The following is a 17,874-nucleotide window of genomic DNA, read 5'->3' as shown; positions in this document are numbered from 1 at the left end:
GTTTTATTGATCTATATGTTCCTCTTTATGCTAATATGGCACTGTCATGATTCTAATAGTTGTATAATAATTCTTGAAATTAGTATAAGCCCTCCAAACTTATTGCTTTTTATTTTTGAGATGGAGTCTTGCTCTGTCACTGAGGCTGGGTTGCAGTGGTATAGCTCACTGCAGCCTCAACCTACCAGGTCAAGTGATCCTCCTACCTCAGCCTCCTGAGTAGCTGGGACCACAGGCACATGCAACTCCCATGCACGACTAATTGTTTGATGTTTTTGTAGAGACGGGGTCTCAGTGTTCCCCATGCTGGTCTTGAACTCCTAGGCTCAAGTAATTCTCCCCACTCAGCCTCTCAAAGTGCTGGGTTATAGGTATGAGCCACTGTGCTTGGCTATTGCTCTTTTTCAAAAAGTTGTTGTGGCTATTATAGGTTATTTGTACTTCCATATAAATTTTATTTTATTTTTTTGAGACAGAATCTCACTCTGTCACCCAGGCTGGAGTGCAGTGGTGGGATCTCGGCTCACTGCAACCTCCGCCTCTCAGGTTCAAGTGATTCTCATGCTGCAGCCTTTCAAGTAGCTGGGATTATAGATGGGCGCCACTATGCCTGGCTAATTTTTGTGTTTTTAGTAGAGACAGGGTTTTGCCATGTTGCCCAGGCTGGTCTCGAACTCCTGGCCTCATGTGATCCACCTGCCATGGCCTCCCAAAGTGCTGGGATTTATAGGCATAATCCACTGCTCCAGGCCCCATATAAATTTTAGAAGTAGGTTTTCCATTTCTATTGGGATTTTGACTGGGATTACATTGAATCTACAGATGAATTTGGGGAAAATTAACATCTTGATATTCTGATCAAGGAACATGGTATATCTCTCCATTGAATTTTGGATCATCTTTTATTTCTTTCAGTAATAAGTTGTTTTTACTGTATAGCTCTTGCACAGATTCTTTTAGATTTATCTTTAAATATTTAATGTTTAGCATTGTTTTTAAAAATAATTTCCAATTGTGTGTTGCTAATATATAAATTACATCTAGATAAAGATTTTAATTTTTTTAGGTCTTATGGGTTATTTACATGTGTGCCTCCTGTTTGATCAGACAACATACCTTGCATAATTAAAATACTTGAAGAATTATTGAGATTTATGTTATGGCTCGAAAAATGGCCTATGTTGCCGGGCGCGGTGGCTCACATCTGTAATCCCAGCACTTTGAAAGGCCAAGGCATGTTGATCACGAGGTCAGGAGTTCGAGACCAGCCTGACCAACATGGTGAAACCCCATGTCTACTAAAAATACAAAAATTAGCTGGGCATGGTGGCGTGAGCCTCTAATCCCAGCTACTCAGGAGGCTGAGGCAGGAGAATCGATTGAACCCGAGAGGCGGAGGTTGCAGTGAGCTGAGATTGCGCCACTGCACTCCAGCCTGGGCTACAGAGCGAGACTCGTGGAAGGAAGGAAGGAAGGAAGGAAGGAAGGGAGGGAGGGAGGGAGGGAGGGAGGGAGGGAGGGAGGGAGGGAAAGAAAACACTCTTATATTTTGGTGAAGTGTTCTATAAATGTCAGGTTAAGAAGGTTGATAATGTTTAAATCTCCTATATCCTATAGCTCTTTCTGTATACTTATCATTTTAGTATGATATCATTTTAATAGAATCTCTGACTATAGGCCGGGCGCGTTGGCTCATGCCTATAATCTCAGCACTTTGAGAGGCGGAGGAGGGTGGATCACAAGGTCAGGAGATCAAGACCATCCTGGCTAACACAGTGAAACCCCGTCTCTACTAAAAGTACAAAAAATTAGCCAGGCGTGGTGGCGGGCACCTATAGTCCCAGCTACTCGGGAGGCTGAGGCAAGAGAATGGCGTGAACCTGGGAGGTGGAGCTTGCAGTGAGCTGAGATCGCGCCACTGCACTCCAGCCTGGGCGGCAGAGCGAGACTCCGCCTCAAAAAAAAAAAAAAAAAAAAAAAGAATCTCTGACTATAAATGTGGATTTTTCTCTTTCTCTGTTCGGTTCTCTTAGATGATGCTTCATGTATTTTGAAGCTCTGTTATTAGGGGCATAGATGTTTAGGATTGACTCCTTTATCATTATATAATAATCTTCTTTATCCCATGTAATACTCATTGCTCTGAAGTATTTGTTGATATTAAAATAGCGACTGCAGCTTTATTTTTACTAGTGTTAGCCTAATATATCTTTTTCTATCCTTTTGCTTTTTGAAAGACTTTTGCTTTTAACCTGTTGGTGACTTTTTATTTAAGATGGATTTCTTGTGTATAATGTATAGTGGGACTTGGTTTATATCCATTCTGATAATCTATGCCTTTTAATTGGGGTGCTTAGACCATTTATATATACTGCAATTATTGATATTAGTGAGTTTAAATCTCCCATCTTGCCCTTTATTTGCTACTTTTCTCATCTGTTTATTGCCCCTTTTCTTTTTTTTTCTGCTTTGTCTTGGATTGATTATTTTTGTTATTCCATTTTGCCTTCTTTATTGGATTATTTATTATGCTCTGGAAGTTTTAACATTTTCTCTTTATGTTTTTTTTTTTTTTTTTTTTTTTTTTTTTTGAGATGAAATCTCGCTATATTGCCCAGGTTAGAGTTCAGTGGCTGTTCAAAGGCATGACTATAGCACACTGTGGCCTTGAACTCTTGGCCTCAAGTGGTCCTCCCACCTCAGAATTCCAAGTAGCTGGGACTACAGGTCACCTCACCCGTGATATTCCTCATCTTTCCTCTTTTGTGCTCCATGGTCCCTTTAAGATCTTCGTGTTTTTTTTTTTCTTTAACTATTACCCCCCTTTTTTTTTCTTTTTTGTAGAGATGGGTGTCTCACTATGTTTCCCAGGATGGTCTTGAACTCCTGTGCTCAAGTGATCCTCCAGCCTCAGCCTCCCAAAGCATTGGGATTACAGGCATGAGCCACTATGCCCACCTTCTTGTTTCCTTTTATTTTTTCTTCTTTCTTTTTTCTTAGAGTCCAGTTGTGTGGATATTGGAATTTCTAATTTTATTCTTTGAATTTCTTAGCTTTTCTTTCATATTTTAAAAAATTCTTGTCCTTTTCTTCTTCATATTGAGAGATTTCCTCATTCTGATATCTCAATTTGACCATTTTCTTCTATTTATCCCAACCAATTGCATTGTGTTTTTATTTTTTAATTTTTATTTTAGCTTGTTTTTTAAAATGTTGTTTGTTCACGTTTTATATTGCTAATATCTTTTCTTATGTTCTCTAATATATTAATTGGTTAATTTAGAAGTTCCTGGTTCTCTGTTCTGTTTACATTGGATCAGTAATTGAGATGTATTGTCTTCTTGTGAAACAAATGCCTTATTACTTTGGGCTGTGAAATCATTTTTTCCTGGGGATACTGGCTATCCTGTTAGGCAGTCCCTTAGAACAGAATGTTCAAAATGTCCAACTGTCCAAACCTGATTCCCTCCAATGAGGTCGGGAGTGACTGCGTGTTCTTTTGGACAGAGCCCCGGGCACTGGGAAATAAATCATTCCTCCTCGCCCCTCGAAACAACTCCACAGCTCAGACCTTCAGCTGTTGCCTCACAGGCAAGTATATAGAAAGAGGTACTTACCAGAGTGTAATTTCCAAACTTTTGGAGTTTGGAATCACATCGGTGGGAAAAAAAAACTGCCAGAGGTCAGTGGGTAACTTATGTTTTTCCTCAGTTTTTCACAAGTTCAGAATCTCAAGGCTGCTCTACAACTGAGTCCTGAGTTTCCACCTGTGCGGCAACATTTGTTCCCAGGCTATGGCAGGGGTGAAGGAAGTGCAAAAGGACCAACCGATCCTCTCCTGTATTATCTTCTTCCTGCTTGTTGGGTTGACTTCTACTCTAGGTCGGAGCTGCCACACCACCTCTAAGCAAACAAGTTCAAAATATCCCTCCCCACCACGAATCCATAAGGGTTTATTTATTATTTTCCTATAGTTGTCTACTCTTGTGATCTTGGGAAAAGAGCCAGCAGCTTTCCCAGAAATAAAAAACAGAATTGCTTTTCAGGTTTTTGTTGTTGTTCCTGTTTTTGAGACGGCATCTTGCTCTGTCGCCCAGGCTGGAGTGCAGTGGCATGATCTCGGCTCACTGCAACCTCTGCCTCCCAGGTTCAAGCAATTCTCCTGCCTCAGCCTCCTGAGTAGCCGGGATTATAGGCGCCCACCACCACGCCTGGCTAATTTTTTTATTTTTAGTAGAGACAGAGTTTCACCACATTGGCCAGGCTGGTTTCGAACTCCTGACCTCAGATGATCCGCCCACCTTGGCCTTCCAAAGTGCTGGGATTACAAGTGTGAGCCACTGCGACTGGCCTGTTTTTCAGTTTTTTTATGTATCATTTTAAGTTTGTTTCTTGTAGGCATCATATTAACAACTTGATATATATTTTTTGATTTGTGAATTTATCTTATTCATATATTTTAATTACTTTTATATTAGAACATATTTTGTTTACACTGTTTTTCCTTCCACCCCTCTCTCTTTTCTTTGGCATTCCAGCAAAACAAAAGTAAGAATTATTTAGTACCCAGAAGTGGAGATTTCATATACCTGTACTTATGGTTAGGAATGCCTGTTCTGACTGTTACTTTTCATTGAAAGTAAAGGGTGCATCTCTCTCCATAAATATGACAGGAATAATCAGATCACAGTTTTAAAAATATCGTCTTTTAAAATAAGAAGCACATTTGAACTTACCTCCCAAGTGGCACACAGATTTGACTTGTGATATAACCATTTGCCATTCTCATCTCTAGGGTATATTTCATCTCCTGGCTGAAAAAAAAAAAAAAAGAATAAATGTAATTCATTTTATTTATATCTGGGAATTAAATAATAGAATTTAGACTTCCCAGTCTTCATAATTGTGAGCAATCAATGTCTATTGTTTCTAAATCACCCAGTCTAAAGTATTTTGTCATAGCGGCCCAGCTGGATTAAGACACCTGCCCATGCTTCCTGGGATGCCAGTACCTGTCTTGTGTGCACTGTCCTCTCACTCTGTACAGCTGACACCTGCATCTGTTAGAGGACAGACCTCAGGCTACTGGGACTTGTGTATCTACTCAATTAGATGTGCCCAGGAATTTACACCCTGCTCCCCCTGCTGGGACAGCCTTTGAACTAAAGTTACAAGTATCAATATTTGTTTCTTTGCCTTGTGACTGTGTAATTCTGAGATGTGAACAACTTTGTCTCCAGAGCTTTCTGTGACATTTAGCCTAAGTTGCTCTCTGTAGGACTCTGATTTCTACCTCACATCTGCTTAACCTCTTATTTTTCAGCCACATTTCCCCACTCCCTTAACAGTACTTCGAAATAAATCACTCTTGTATGCATTCTCTTCATCTCAGGGTCTGCTTCTGGGGAAATCAACCTAACGGGCTGTATGCAATAGGGGAGAGCTGATGGTGTCTGGGACTGGGGCAACTGCAGTAGAGAGGAAAAGAAGGGAACAGATTAGCACATGAATGAGTAGTAGAGCCAGCATGCCTTAATGTTGGCTTGGAAATGAGGTGGGGTGGTGGGAATGAGGGAGAGGGAGAAATCAAAGATGATCCCAGATGCCTTGGGTGGTTGGTGGTAACCATTTCTTGAGGTTGGGGCTAGGAATCCAGAATATCATTTTGGATATTTTGACTTTGAAATGGTCACTAGACATTCAAGTGGATATTGAGGGAGGCAGTTGAACAGAGAAGTCAAGAGCTCAGAGAGAGGTCATGGCTACAGATAAAATTTGGAGTCATTAGCATGTAAAATGGTATTAAATCCACATGATTGGATTAAGTCACCTATAGAGAGAGTGTAGCTAGTAAGACAAGAATATTGAGGGTAGAGGACTGGGCATAACAACATTTGGAAGCTGGCAGAGAAGAAGCTGCCAAAGACCATGAGAGGGTCATGAGATGTCACGAACACCATGAGAAGAAAATGTTTACAGAAGAAGGTGGTAGTCAACTGTATTGAAAGAGATCAAATAATAGGAAGACAAAATGTCTATTGAATTTGGCAGGATGAAAGTCTTTGTTGACTTTGGTAATAGGGATTTTCTTATTGGGAATTGCTGTGGTTTAAATGTGTCCCCCCTAATTCATGTGTTGGAAACTTAATCCCCAGTGCAACTGTGTTGGGAGGTGGGGCCTAATGGGAGTTGTTCAGTCGTGGATTAATGCCATTGTAAAAAGGGCTCAGACGAGGAGGGGTGCTTTCTTGTGCTCTTTGCCCTTCCTCGTTCCAGCATGTGATGACATAGCAAGAAGGCTCTAGTGAGGTGCTGGTACTTTGGTCTTGAACTCTCCAGCTTCTAGAACTTTGAGCCAATACATTTCTGTTTATTATCTATTACCCAGTGTCAGGCATTCTTTTTTTTTTCTTTTAAAGGAAATGTTTCTGAATGATAGCATTCTTTTTCCGTTGTTGTTGTTTGTTTGTTTTTGAGACAAGGTCTTACTCTGCTGTCCAGGCTGGAGTGCGGTGGCATGATTATGGCTCACTGTAGCCTCGATGTCCCCAGGCTCAGGTGATCCTCCCATCTCAACCTCCTGAGCAGCTGGGACTACAGGTGTGCACCACCACACCTAGCTAATTTTTTTGTATTTTTTTTGTAGAGACCAGGTTTCACCATGCTGTCCAGGCTGGTCTCGAACTCCTAGGCTCAAGTGATCCACCTGCCTTGGCCTCCCAAATTGCTGGGAATACAGGTGTGAGCCACTGCACCAGGCCTCAGGCATGCTTTTATAGCAGCACAAAACAGACTGAGAAGGGAATCAAGCAATTGGACAAAATCCATTATGCTCTTAAATTTGTTCCTAATTTGGCCAGGCGCAGTGGCTCACACCTATAATCCCAGTATTTTGGGAGGCCAAGGTGGGCCGATCAGCTGAGGTCAGGAGTTCGAGACCAGCCTGGCCAACATGGCAAAACCCTGTCTCTACTAAAAATACAAAAATTAGCCGGGCATGATGGCGGGCGCCTGTAATCCCAGCTACTCAGCAGGCTGAGGCAAGAGAATCGCTTGAACCCGGGAGGCGGAGATTGCAGTGAGCCGAGATCATGCCACTGCACTCCAGTCTGGGCAACAAGAGCAAGACTCCATCTCAAAACAAAACAAAACAAAACAAAACAAAAATTTTAATTTTTTCCTCTAGCATTTCACCTTTGTGAAACTCAGTTTTCCTTTATGGAAAACATTTTCCCCATTGTCTGCTTTAGGGAAAGACAATGTCTTTTCAACTTCCTCCCATCTCCCTGAGAGCAGGGAACAGTCCCTTTTCTCCTTGATGCCACATTATTATTCATGTTAATTATCCATTCTGTCTCTGATTTCTAAGCACTTTGAATTTCTCAACACTTATGACCCACATTTCTGCTCCATATTTCTTACCTTGTGTTTCCTAATTTTACTTACCTTCTGAATGGCCTTATGCCTCCATCATGAATTCTGTTACGTGATTTTTACTTTCCCAGATTCTAATCAGGTGGTTATCAAGCCTGAACCCACATTAGATACCTCTAGGTGTTTCCCTTGACCTTCCATTGTGCCTATTTTACTCATCCTTTCATCCCGATAAGCCTCTTTGTCTCTTTCCTTCATTCCTCTTCCTCACAGTCAGGTATTATTGGAAGAATAACCCAACCCTTTAAAAATCTATGCTATTGACTCTCATTCTTGTTCATTTATCTTTTAAACATGTCATAATTTTTAATATTTTGTTGGCTAAAATTCTGTCTGCTTGACACTTAAAAAATAATAAAGTGCTAAAAATATTTTAGCAAAAAAGATTTTTTGTTTAAAAAAACTTAAGATTCAAAAAGCATGTGAAGTCAGGTATGGTGGCTCATGCCTGTAATCCCAGCACTTTGGGAGGCTGAAGTGGGAGAATGGCTTGAGGCCAGGAGTTCCAGACCAGCATGGTCAACATAGCGAGACCCTGTCTCTACAAAAGAAAAATTGAAAAATTAGGTGAGTGTGGTGGCACACACCTGTAGTCTCAGCTACTTGGGAGGCTGAGGCAGGAGGATTGCTTGAGCCTAGGATCTCAAGGCTACAGTGAGCCACACACCACTGCAGTCCAGCCTGGGTGACAGAGCAAGACTGCCCCCCCACTCTTTTTTCTTTTTTTTTCCAAGACAGGGTCTTGCTCTGTCACCCAGGCTGGAGTGCAGTGGCGCAATCTTGGCTCACTGCACCCTCCACCTCCCCAGCTCAAGTGATCCTCCCACCTTAGTCTCCCAAGTAGCTGAGACCACAGGCACATGCCACCAAGCCTGGCTAATTTTTGTATTTTTTGTAGAGATGGGGTTTTGCCATGTTGCCCAGGCTTGTCTCAAACTCCTGGACTCAAGTGATCTGCCAGCCTTAGCCTCCCAAAGTACTGGGACTACAGATGTGAGCCACTGTCCCCGGCTGACCCTACCTTAAGCAAACAAACAAACAAACACCAAAAAACATGTCGTACTTAAGCTTCAAATATTGATTTCCCAATTATAGGTTCAGTTGGAAGGTAATGTCACTATATTGTGTCATTTCTCACTGTTAAAATTTTACCTTTTGTGCCTTTGAACCCATCAAAAATAAGAATAGAAATTATCTATCAAGTCCAAAAAGATGTAAATGTCATTAGTTAGTCACAGAGAAGTAAATTTTATTTTCTCACTTTTAAGTAGAGTCATGTGCTGCATAATGACATTTTGGTCAATGGTGGACTGCATGTATGATGGTGGCCCATAAGATTATAATAGAGTTTAAAATTCCTATCACCTAGTGACATCATGTTTGTGGTGTTGCTGGTGTAAACAAACCAACTGTGCTGCCAGGTATATAAAAGTAGAACACACATAATCATGTATAGTATATAATACTTGATAATGATAGTAAACAATTTCTGTTTTTACTATGGATACAACTTATATATTTGTTCTACTACACTTTATCATAATTTTAGAATGTTCTCCTTCTACTTTTAAAAAATGTTAAGTGTAAAAAAACGCCAGGCAGGTCTTTCAGGAGGGATTCCAGAAGAAGACACTGTTGTCACAGGAGATGGCAGCTCCATGCGTGTTATTGCTCCGGAAGAACCTCCAGTGGGACGAGATGTGGACGTGGAAGACACTGATATTGATGATGCTGACCCTGTGTAGGCCTAGACTAATGTGTGTGCTTGTGTCTTAGTTTTTAACAAAAGAGTTTAAAAAAAAATTTAATAGACAAGAGCTTATACAATAAGAATACAAAGAAAGAATATTTTTATACAGCTGTACAACATGTTTGTGTTTTATTCATGTTATTAAAAAAGTAATTAATCCCAACACTTTGGGAGGCCGAGGTGGGCGGATCATGAGGTCAGGAGATCGAGACCATCCTGGCCAACATGGTGAAACCCTGTCTCTACTAAAAATACAAAACTTAGCCGGGTGTGATGGTGCTTGCCTGTAGTCCCGGCTACTTGGGAGGCTGAGGCAGGAGAATCGCTTGAACCCGGGAGGCGGAAGTTGCAGTGAGCCGAGATGGCACCACTGCACTTCAGCCTGGCAACAGAGCGAGACTCTGTCTCAAAAAAAAAAAAAAAAGTAATTAGTATTAGTGTTACTACTAAGTATTATTACAAAGAATCAAAAAGTTAAAAAATTAAAACATTTATAAGCTGAAAACAGTTACAATAAGCTAATGTTAATTTATTATTGAAGAAAAAATATTATGTGATTCATTGTGTACCCTAAGTGTGCAGTGTTTATAAAGTCTCCAGTCATGTACAGTAATGACCTAGGCCTTCACATTCACTCACCACTTACTCCGTGACTCATCCAATTTTTATCCTGCAAGCTCCATTCATGGTAAGTGCCAGGTATAGGTGTATCTTATCTTTTATGCCATATTTTTACTGTACCTTTTCTATGTTATGTTTATATACACAAATATTTACCATTGTGTTACCATCGTCTACAGTATTCAGAATAGTAACATGCTGTGCAGGTTTATAGCCTAGGAGCAATCGGCTGGGCTATCTAGCCTAAGTCTGTAATAGGCTATACCATTTAGGCACAACGTGTTTGCGTTTTATTCATGTTATTACAAAAGTAATGCAGTCTACCATGGTAAATAAAACCTTACCACCTCGGTTTGTGTAAGTACACTCTATATGATGTTTGCAGAACAACAAAGTCACCTCATGACACATTTCTCAGAATGTATCCCATTGCTAAGCAACACATAATTGTACACTGGGTCTTTCTAAATTTTTAAGACTTAGGTTAGAAATCTGACATTTGAACAAGAGTCAGCATTAACAAAGTGAGGATGAGGGCGGAGATTGTGACTGTGTGAGTGGGAAGAAGGGTGTGTGTCTCAATGGTGGGCTACAGTTAGAGGACTACATGTTGGTTTGATGCAGAGAGCTTAAACTATAGTTGTAAAAACATGGTATAATAGAAATTGCATTGAATTAAAAAATCAAGAAACTTGGAAACCAAGCCTGAGTCTGCTAACATAATCTTCTCGGGTATTTGTCAGACTAGGTCAGTACTCTCTGATCTGTGGTAACAAAACACCACAATATTCTGTGGTGCCAAGTAATACGCTAGCTTCATGCACATAGCTATTGGCTCATGGTGCAGAGCTTCATGCACATAGCTATTGGCTCATGGTGCAGAGCTTCATGCACATAGCTATTGGCTCATGGTGCAGAGCTTCATGCACATAGCTATTGGCTCATGGTTGCCAGGGTGCAGAGACCTGACCTTTGGGCATCTGAACTCACCTTAAAGGCCATGGGTACTTCAATGATGTAAAGATCCACATAATCTAGCTGGAGGACCCTGAGTGTCCTCTCCAGGGTTGGGCGGACCATCTCTGGGACATGATTTGTAGCCCATAGCTGAAAGAATCAAAGAGGGAGAATTAACTAATGTCTACACGCTTTTTACGATAAGGCAGCCCCTTTTTCTTTGTAAAACACTCGTACACATTTTTTTTTTTTGAGATGGGGGGTCTCACTATGTTGCCCAGGCTGGTCTTTAACTCCTGGGCTCAAGCGATCTGCCCACTTCAGCCTCCCAAAGTGCTGGGATTATAAGCATCAGCCACCGTGCCTAGCCGCTTGTACACATTTTATTCACACATTTCATTTCACAAAAATATGTTTATGATGCAGTGTCATCTGAGTATAGGATGAGCTGATAAAACTCTTGACACTCAGAGCCTAGCTTGAGAGCTTGTTTGGAGGTTCTAGTAGGGGAGTGCAGCTACTCACATACACTTGACCTAAAAACCCTCCTCCTTCATCAGGGAAAGCCGTCCTCTTCCACTGAGAGTGCAGCTTCAAGAGGTACAATTGCCTAGACAGCCAGATCAGCTGAATTAGCCCTGGTGACTAATGGGGTGACATATGTTACAGCCAGATCACCCTCACATCTCCAGACATAATTTTATGCAAATCTACCACAAGAGACTTACAGATCCTCCTTGACCACAGAGTACCTAATTTGATGGCAGTCTTCCCCATTTCCGGGTGAATTTCCTGATGCTTAGTGCTTGCATTTTTCCTCATTGTATAACTAGGGTTACACAATGTTCTAGATGTCCTGACCTAGCGTGATACTTTATTGTCATGCCACTCTGATAAAATGAGCAAGGAATATGGTTATGCGTGTGGCTTCACTGGGTCCTTCACATTGTGACAGGTGGTGTGAAAGCCTGGTGAAATTTTAAATTAGTGCATAGATTTAGATTTGCTTTCACTGATCTTTTGTTCTTATTTGGTCCTACTTAGACCCCAGAGCAATTAAATTACTCTTTCGCTAAGGCATTACATAATGAAGGATCAAGGTTTGGTTGATCCTACTGGAGCATGTGTACCCTTAAGTGTCTGAGACATACGGTGCCAAGGTTGCTTATACCCACAGGACAAATTAGTACATCTTTTGGAATATCAGTTTTGCTCACAGATTTTTTTGGGGGGATATAAGTTTAGAATCATACTTTTCTTTTTTCTTTTTTTTTTTTTTTTGAGACGGGGTCTTGCTGTGTTGCTGAGGCTGGAGCGCAGTGGCTTGATCTTGGCTTAGTGCAACCTCTGCCTCCCGGGTTCAAGCGATTCTGCTGCCTCAGCCTCCCAAGTAGCTGGGATTACAGGCACCTGCTACCACGCCTGGCTAATTTTTGTATTTTTAGTAGAGATGGGGTTTCACCATGTTGGCCAGTCTGGTCTCGAACTTCTGACCTCAAGTGATCCTTCCTCCTCTGCCTTCCAAAGTGCTGGGATTACAGGCTTGAGCCACTGCACCCGGCCTGAATCATACTTTTTTTGGTCACAAGAAAGGGTAAGCAAAATTGGTAATATCTGATTTTTTCCTCTGTTGGACAATGATTTTTTTCTTGCCTTAAAAACACAGAGAAAATTTAACATGAAGAGAGTAGTGGAAAAATGTGTTACGTGTGTTTTGATTGCTACTCTGGGTCTCTTTGGTGTTCCTATTGCAATCCCATCTAAGTGGAAATTCTGTTTGATATTTATTTTACTTTCTTTTTCATTCCTGGGCATAGGCTGATGATATTTTAATTTACTTTTATTCAACAAACATACATAGTATTAGCTTTGTGCCAGGTTCGGTGTGAGTGCTTTGTAAATGTGAACTCATAACAACTTTATGAAATAGTTGACATTATTATCCCCATTTTACAGAGAAAAAAAATTGAGGTCCAGAAATGCTAGGCAACTCAGCCAATAGTGACAGATCTGGGCCTCTGACCTGGGCAACCTTGCACCAGTCTAGGCTCTTAATCACCCCCACATTGCCTCTCAGGTGCTGCTGAGCTGCAGTGAAGACAGTCCTGATGAGGCAATAGCAATGGCACATTACATGAACTCAGCTGCACACACTGTTTCTGTTTACGTAAGTAAACACCAATATTTCGCCCAAGTATGCTTTATTACATACAGCCCATATTGACATTGTATACGTATAAATATTGCTTTCTATTCACAACTGTACTTTTTGGACAATTTAAAGGATTAAAGTTAAAGGACAATTTAAAGCATGTTTTGACCACCTTTTCCTTGTATGCTAACTTTAGCCTCTATCATAGTAAGAAATGACTCCTATAATATGAGTCATTAAGCAAAAGGCTTGCATAATGTGCCTGCCCAGGAAGCCTACATAGCTGGCTTTTGGATTGGTGACCTTATGAGCTTGTTTTTTTTTTTTTTTAATTTACGTTTGTTTGCTTTTATTAAACAAAATCTGAATACCATGTCTGAGTTAATTACATTTGCTCAAATGCTTTTTTTTTTTTGAGAGAGGGTCTCGCTGTGTCACTCAGGTTGGAGTGCAGTGATATGAACATGACTCATTGCAGCTTTGACCTCCCTGGCTCAAGCCATCCTCCTGCCTCAGCCTCCCAAGTATCTGGGACTACAGGTGCAAGTTACCATGCCTGGCTAATTTTTGTATTTTTTTTTGTAGAGACAAGGTTTTGCCATGTTACCCAGGTTGGTCTTGAACTCCTGAGCTCAAGCAAAACACCTGCCTCGGCCTCCCGAAGTGCGGATTAGAGGCGTGAGACACCGCACCCAGCCAAATACATTTTTAAAACCCTCTTTCTCTCCCCTAAATGCTACTCTGCTTACTTCTCCCAAACTAATAAATAATTCGTTAATATGATACAAGAATGTTGAAAATCCTATTTTGCATGATTTTGGTCTCATTTGAACACTTATCTTTCAAACAAACAAACAAACAAACAAACCCAAACTGTTATTAAGTACTGCCTACTCATGAGTGCAATTACACACACACACACACGGAAGATGAATAATAAAATGAACAACTGAAACCTTCTCACTGTCCCCAGTGGAGGCTGAAGGCAAGATCTCACCTTTCCACAGTAGAAGATATCTTCCCTCCGCACCTTTCCTTCTGCTATCTTCTCCCTGATGGCCTCCCCAACTTCGTGTTCATTTTGGTAGATGTAGGCCCCATCAATATGTCGGTACCCTGTGTCAATAGCAACCTTCACCGATGTTGCACAGGCTCCCTTAGGGGTCTGAAGTGACAAAGAGGTTGGGTTTGGGGAAAAGAGAAATGGTCTTTCCTTTAATAATCATTAATCAGGACATTTTGCATGTACATTCCTTTACAGCTAAAATGACACATTCCCAATTCCTTGCTGTTGTGATTGGAAGATGGTGTTCAGCAGCAGGAGAAACTGACCTCCCAGGGGCCTCCGCTCCCTCAGTGGGAGACACCATCTGTCCCAGGTCTGCCCTCAGCTTCGTGGCATCAAAAATGTGATTTGATCAATATTTCCTGTGACAAGAGAATTCATGGAAGCCTTTTTACAGGAGGGCACAAGCTGATTGAAGAAGGCTAAATTATAAATCAAAAGGTTGGGTAAACAAATTGAGATGTATCCACAGAATGGAATACTCCTCAGTAATAAAAAGGAATGAAGTGGGCCTGGTGTGGTGGCTCACACCTGTAATCCCAGGACTTTGGGAGGCTGAGGCAGGAGGATTGCTTGAGGCCAGGAGTTTGAGACCAGCCTGGGCAACATAGGGAGACCCCATCTGTACAAAAAGTAAAGTAATTAGCTGGATGTGGTGGCATGCGCCTGTGGTCCCAGTTACTTGGGAGGGTAAGGTAGGGGGATTGCTTGAGCCTGGGAGTTGAAGGCTGCAGTGAGTCATGATCATGCCACTGTACTCCAGACTGGGCAACATAGACAGACCCTGTCTCAAAAAAAAAAAAAAAGAAAAGAAATGTAGCATTGATGACAACACATAGTATGGATGAATCTCAAAATAATTATACTGAGTGAAAGAAGCCGGACCAAAAAGAATAAATACTTTAGTTTTTCTCTTCTAGCATTTTATATAAATGGAATCATAGTCTGTGGTGACAGACATAGATCAGTGATTGCCTGGGGTCAGGAGTTGGGGGAAGTATGGGTGGAAGGAGGGATTACAAAGTGGCATGAGGAAGCTTATAGAGTTGATAGATATGTTCATTATTTTGATTGTGGTGATGGCCTCACAGATGTATATATGTCATACTCTTCAAATTGTATACTTTAAATATGGACAGTTTATTATATGTCAGTTATATCTCAATGAAACTGAGGAAAAAATATTGTTGAGGAACATTTTATGTTTTAGGATATATTTTAATAACATTTGGTAGCTACAGGTTTGTTCATTTTATTAACTCACGTTAAACATAAGAATGAGCATATCCTGTTCCCTGAACACTGATTTTTCATTTGCTATGGTTTGATTATTTTTGTCCCCTCCAAAACTCATGTTGAAACCTAATCTCCAATTTGACAAACAGTGTTGGGAGGTAGGGCCTAATGGGAGGTGTTTAGGATTAATGTCACCATAAAAAGGGCTTGTGAGAGTGGGTGCTCCCTCTTCTGTCATGTGAGTAATAGTGTTTCTCCTCTCCAGAGAATGCAGCAATCAAGGTACACCCTTGGAAGTGAGAGACTGGGCCCTAACCTGCCGGCATCTTGATCTTGGACTTTGCGGCCTCCAGAACTGTAAGAGAATAAACCTCTGTTCTTTATCAGTTATCCAGTCTCAGGCATTCTGTTACAGCAGCACAAAATAGAGTAAGACACCATTTTTCAGATTCCACATAATTCCCTATGCCTCAGTTATGATGGCATTTAAATATACGAATGTGTTTCTTTTAGTTACATTTTTTCTTAATGAGAAACAGCAATGAGATTTCTCTGAAGACAAACATCTAGTCTCATCAAATATAATTTTCAAAGCATCTTTTAGAGCGTGTGTGTGTGAGAGGGTTGATTCTATTTTCTGATTTGTGCTGACTTCATATCAAAGGGTGATTGTTCTGATCTTGCTCAACAAATGTTGGTTAACTACTTGTGCTTTCTTTAGTGTTCTAACCAAATGCTGGACAAATCACATCAGACATGTGAACTCTGGTCCACACCTATTGATTTGTTGTAGGCTGAGCGAGAGAATAAATCTGAAATGTATTTCTAGTGATTTTATAGTCCTGGGCAGGATATAGAAAGCCTTGGGGACATATATTGTATTTTTTCCCCCTGCTACAGTTGGAAGTCATCACTATAGAGAAGATAAGAGGATACGAAAAATGAACAAACTGGCTACATAGATGATATTATAAGATTCATAGTCACAAATATCAAATAGCTGGGAAAAGGAGACACACATTTCAGCAACATTAGAAATATTTGTTTGGTTAATTAAATAACAACATGATTAATAGGACTTGGACAGTAATTGAGTCAAAAGGCCAGAAAAAAGCCTGTAAAATGAGATGTTATGAATGACAAGTGTGACAACCAAAGTACAGTGGGAAGGGGAGGTGAGGCGTGGTGTCCAGAAATTTACAGGGAAGAAAATAAACATCTACTTTCATTCTCAAGTATCTACATTATTATCATTATTATTATTAGAGACAGGGTCTCCGTCACCCAGGCTGGAGTGCAATGGCACGATTATGGCTCACTGCAGCCTCGGCTTCCCAGATTCAAGTGATTCTTCCACCTCAGCCTCCCGAGTAAGTGGGACTACAGGCGTGTGCCACCATGCCTGGCATACATTTTTGTAGAGATGGGGTTTTGCCATGTTGCCCATGCTGGTCTCAAACTCTTGGGCTCAAGTGATCCTCCTGCCTTGGCCTCCCTCTACATATTATTAATATATGAAGCTTAATACTAGATGGTAAATAGAATCTCAGAAACATCACTGAGATTTTATGGGCTGGAACTGATCATTTAAATGAAGAGCTAAAGTACACAATGAAGGGAGCCCCAGACAAATGCGTATTAAAGTAGGTGCTTGTATTTTTGAAGATTAACCCAAAAAATGAAGTACAGAGGAGAGCATTTAGGATAAAGAAAGTACAGCTGGGGATGGTGGCTCACACCTGTAATCCCAGCACTTTCGGAGGCCCAGGCGGGGCAGATCACCTGAGGTCAGGAGTTCAAGACCAGCCTGGCCAACATGGTGAAACCCCATTTCTACTAAAAAATACAAAATGTAGCCAGGCGTGGTGGTAGACACCTGTAATCCCAGCTACTTGGGAGGCTGAGGCAGGGGAATCTCTTGAACCTGGGAGGCAGAGGTTGCAGTGAGCTGAGATCATGCCACTGCACTCCAGCCTGAGTGACAGAGCAAGACTCTGTCTCAAAAAAAAAAAAAAAAGGAAAGAAAAGAAAAAGAAAGAAAGTGGCAAAGGCAAGGGCTAAGGTAGGAGTGTAGTCCACCATGGTGCTGTATATTTGGATGATGACTCATTTAATAAGGATTATGGCACAGAAGCAAGTTATAGTAGTGAAAATCTTCAATTATTCAGCTATCACCAGGGAGTCTCTTCTAAAAGCTGGATATTTACTTACTGGATATCTACTATTTACTTATTTATTTATATGTTTATATTTATATACTTGCTGAAAAATATTGTCCCTCAGAAGGCAGAAGCAGCAGTGAGATGTATTACTATTTTGTACTTAATTCTCATCAGTATGGAGGAACTAGTTGGGACTGTGGACATGAGGACCACACTTTGTAATTCTTTTTTTTTTTTTTTTTTTTTTGAGACGGAGTCTCACTCTGTCACCAGGCTGGAGTGCAGTGGCATGATCTCAGCTCACTGCTACCTCTGCCTCCCGGGTTCAAGCGATTCTCCTACCTCAGCCTTCCGAGCAGCTGGGACTGCAGGTGTGTGCCACCAAGCCCAGCTAATTTTTGTATTTTCAGTAGAGACGGGGTTTCACCATGTTGGCCAGGATGGTCTCGATCTCTTGACCTTGTGATCTGCCCGCCTCAGCCTCCCAAAGTGTTGG

The 17,874-nt window shown here is 41.1% G+C and overlaps 1 protein-coding gene and 1 pseudogene across 4 annotated transcripts in view; both read right to left on the bottom strand.

The window, feature by feature from the left end:
- AKR1D1 (aldo-keto reductase family 1 member D1) overlaps positions 1–17,874 on the bottom strand; it is a 41,847-nt gene that overhangs the window by 15,626 nt on the left and 8,347 nt on the right. For 3 of the 4 annotated variants that reach the window (NM_005989.4, NM_001190907.2, NM_001190906.2), the window contains exons 2-4: positions 13,912–14,079; positions 10,796–10,912; positions 4,737–4,814 (exon numbers count right to left, since the gene is read on the bottom strand). In NM_005989.4, the coding sequence (NP_005980.1) occupies positions 4,737–4,814; positions 10,796–10,912; positions 13,912–14,079 (363 nt within the window). The remainder of the gene's footprint in view (positions 1–4,736; positions 4,815–10,795; positions 10,913–13,911; positions 14,080–17,874) is intronic. The other variant, XM_047420763.1, reaches the window with a different exon arrangement.
- Positions 11,365–11,426, bottom strand: RN7SKP223 (RN7SK pseudogene 223; annotated as a pseudogene).

The sequence above is a fragment of the Homo sapiens genome, chromosome 7 (assembly GCF_000001405.40).
Source record: "Homo sapiens chromosome 7, GRCh38.p14 Primary Assembly".
Taxonomy (NCBI): domain Eukaryota; kingdom Metazoa; phylum Chordata; class Mammalia; order Primates; family Hominidae; genus Homo; species Homo sapiens.
This window is presented reverse-complemented; position numbering and strand designations above follow the sequence as displayed.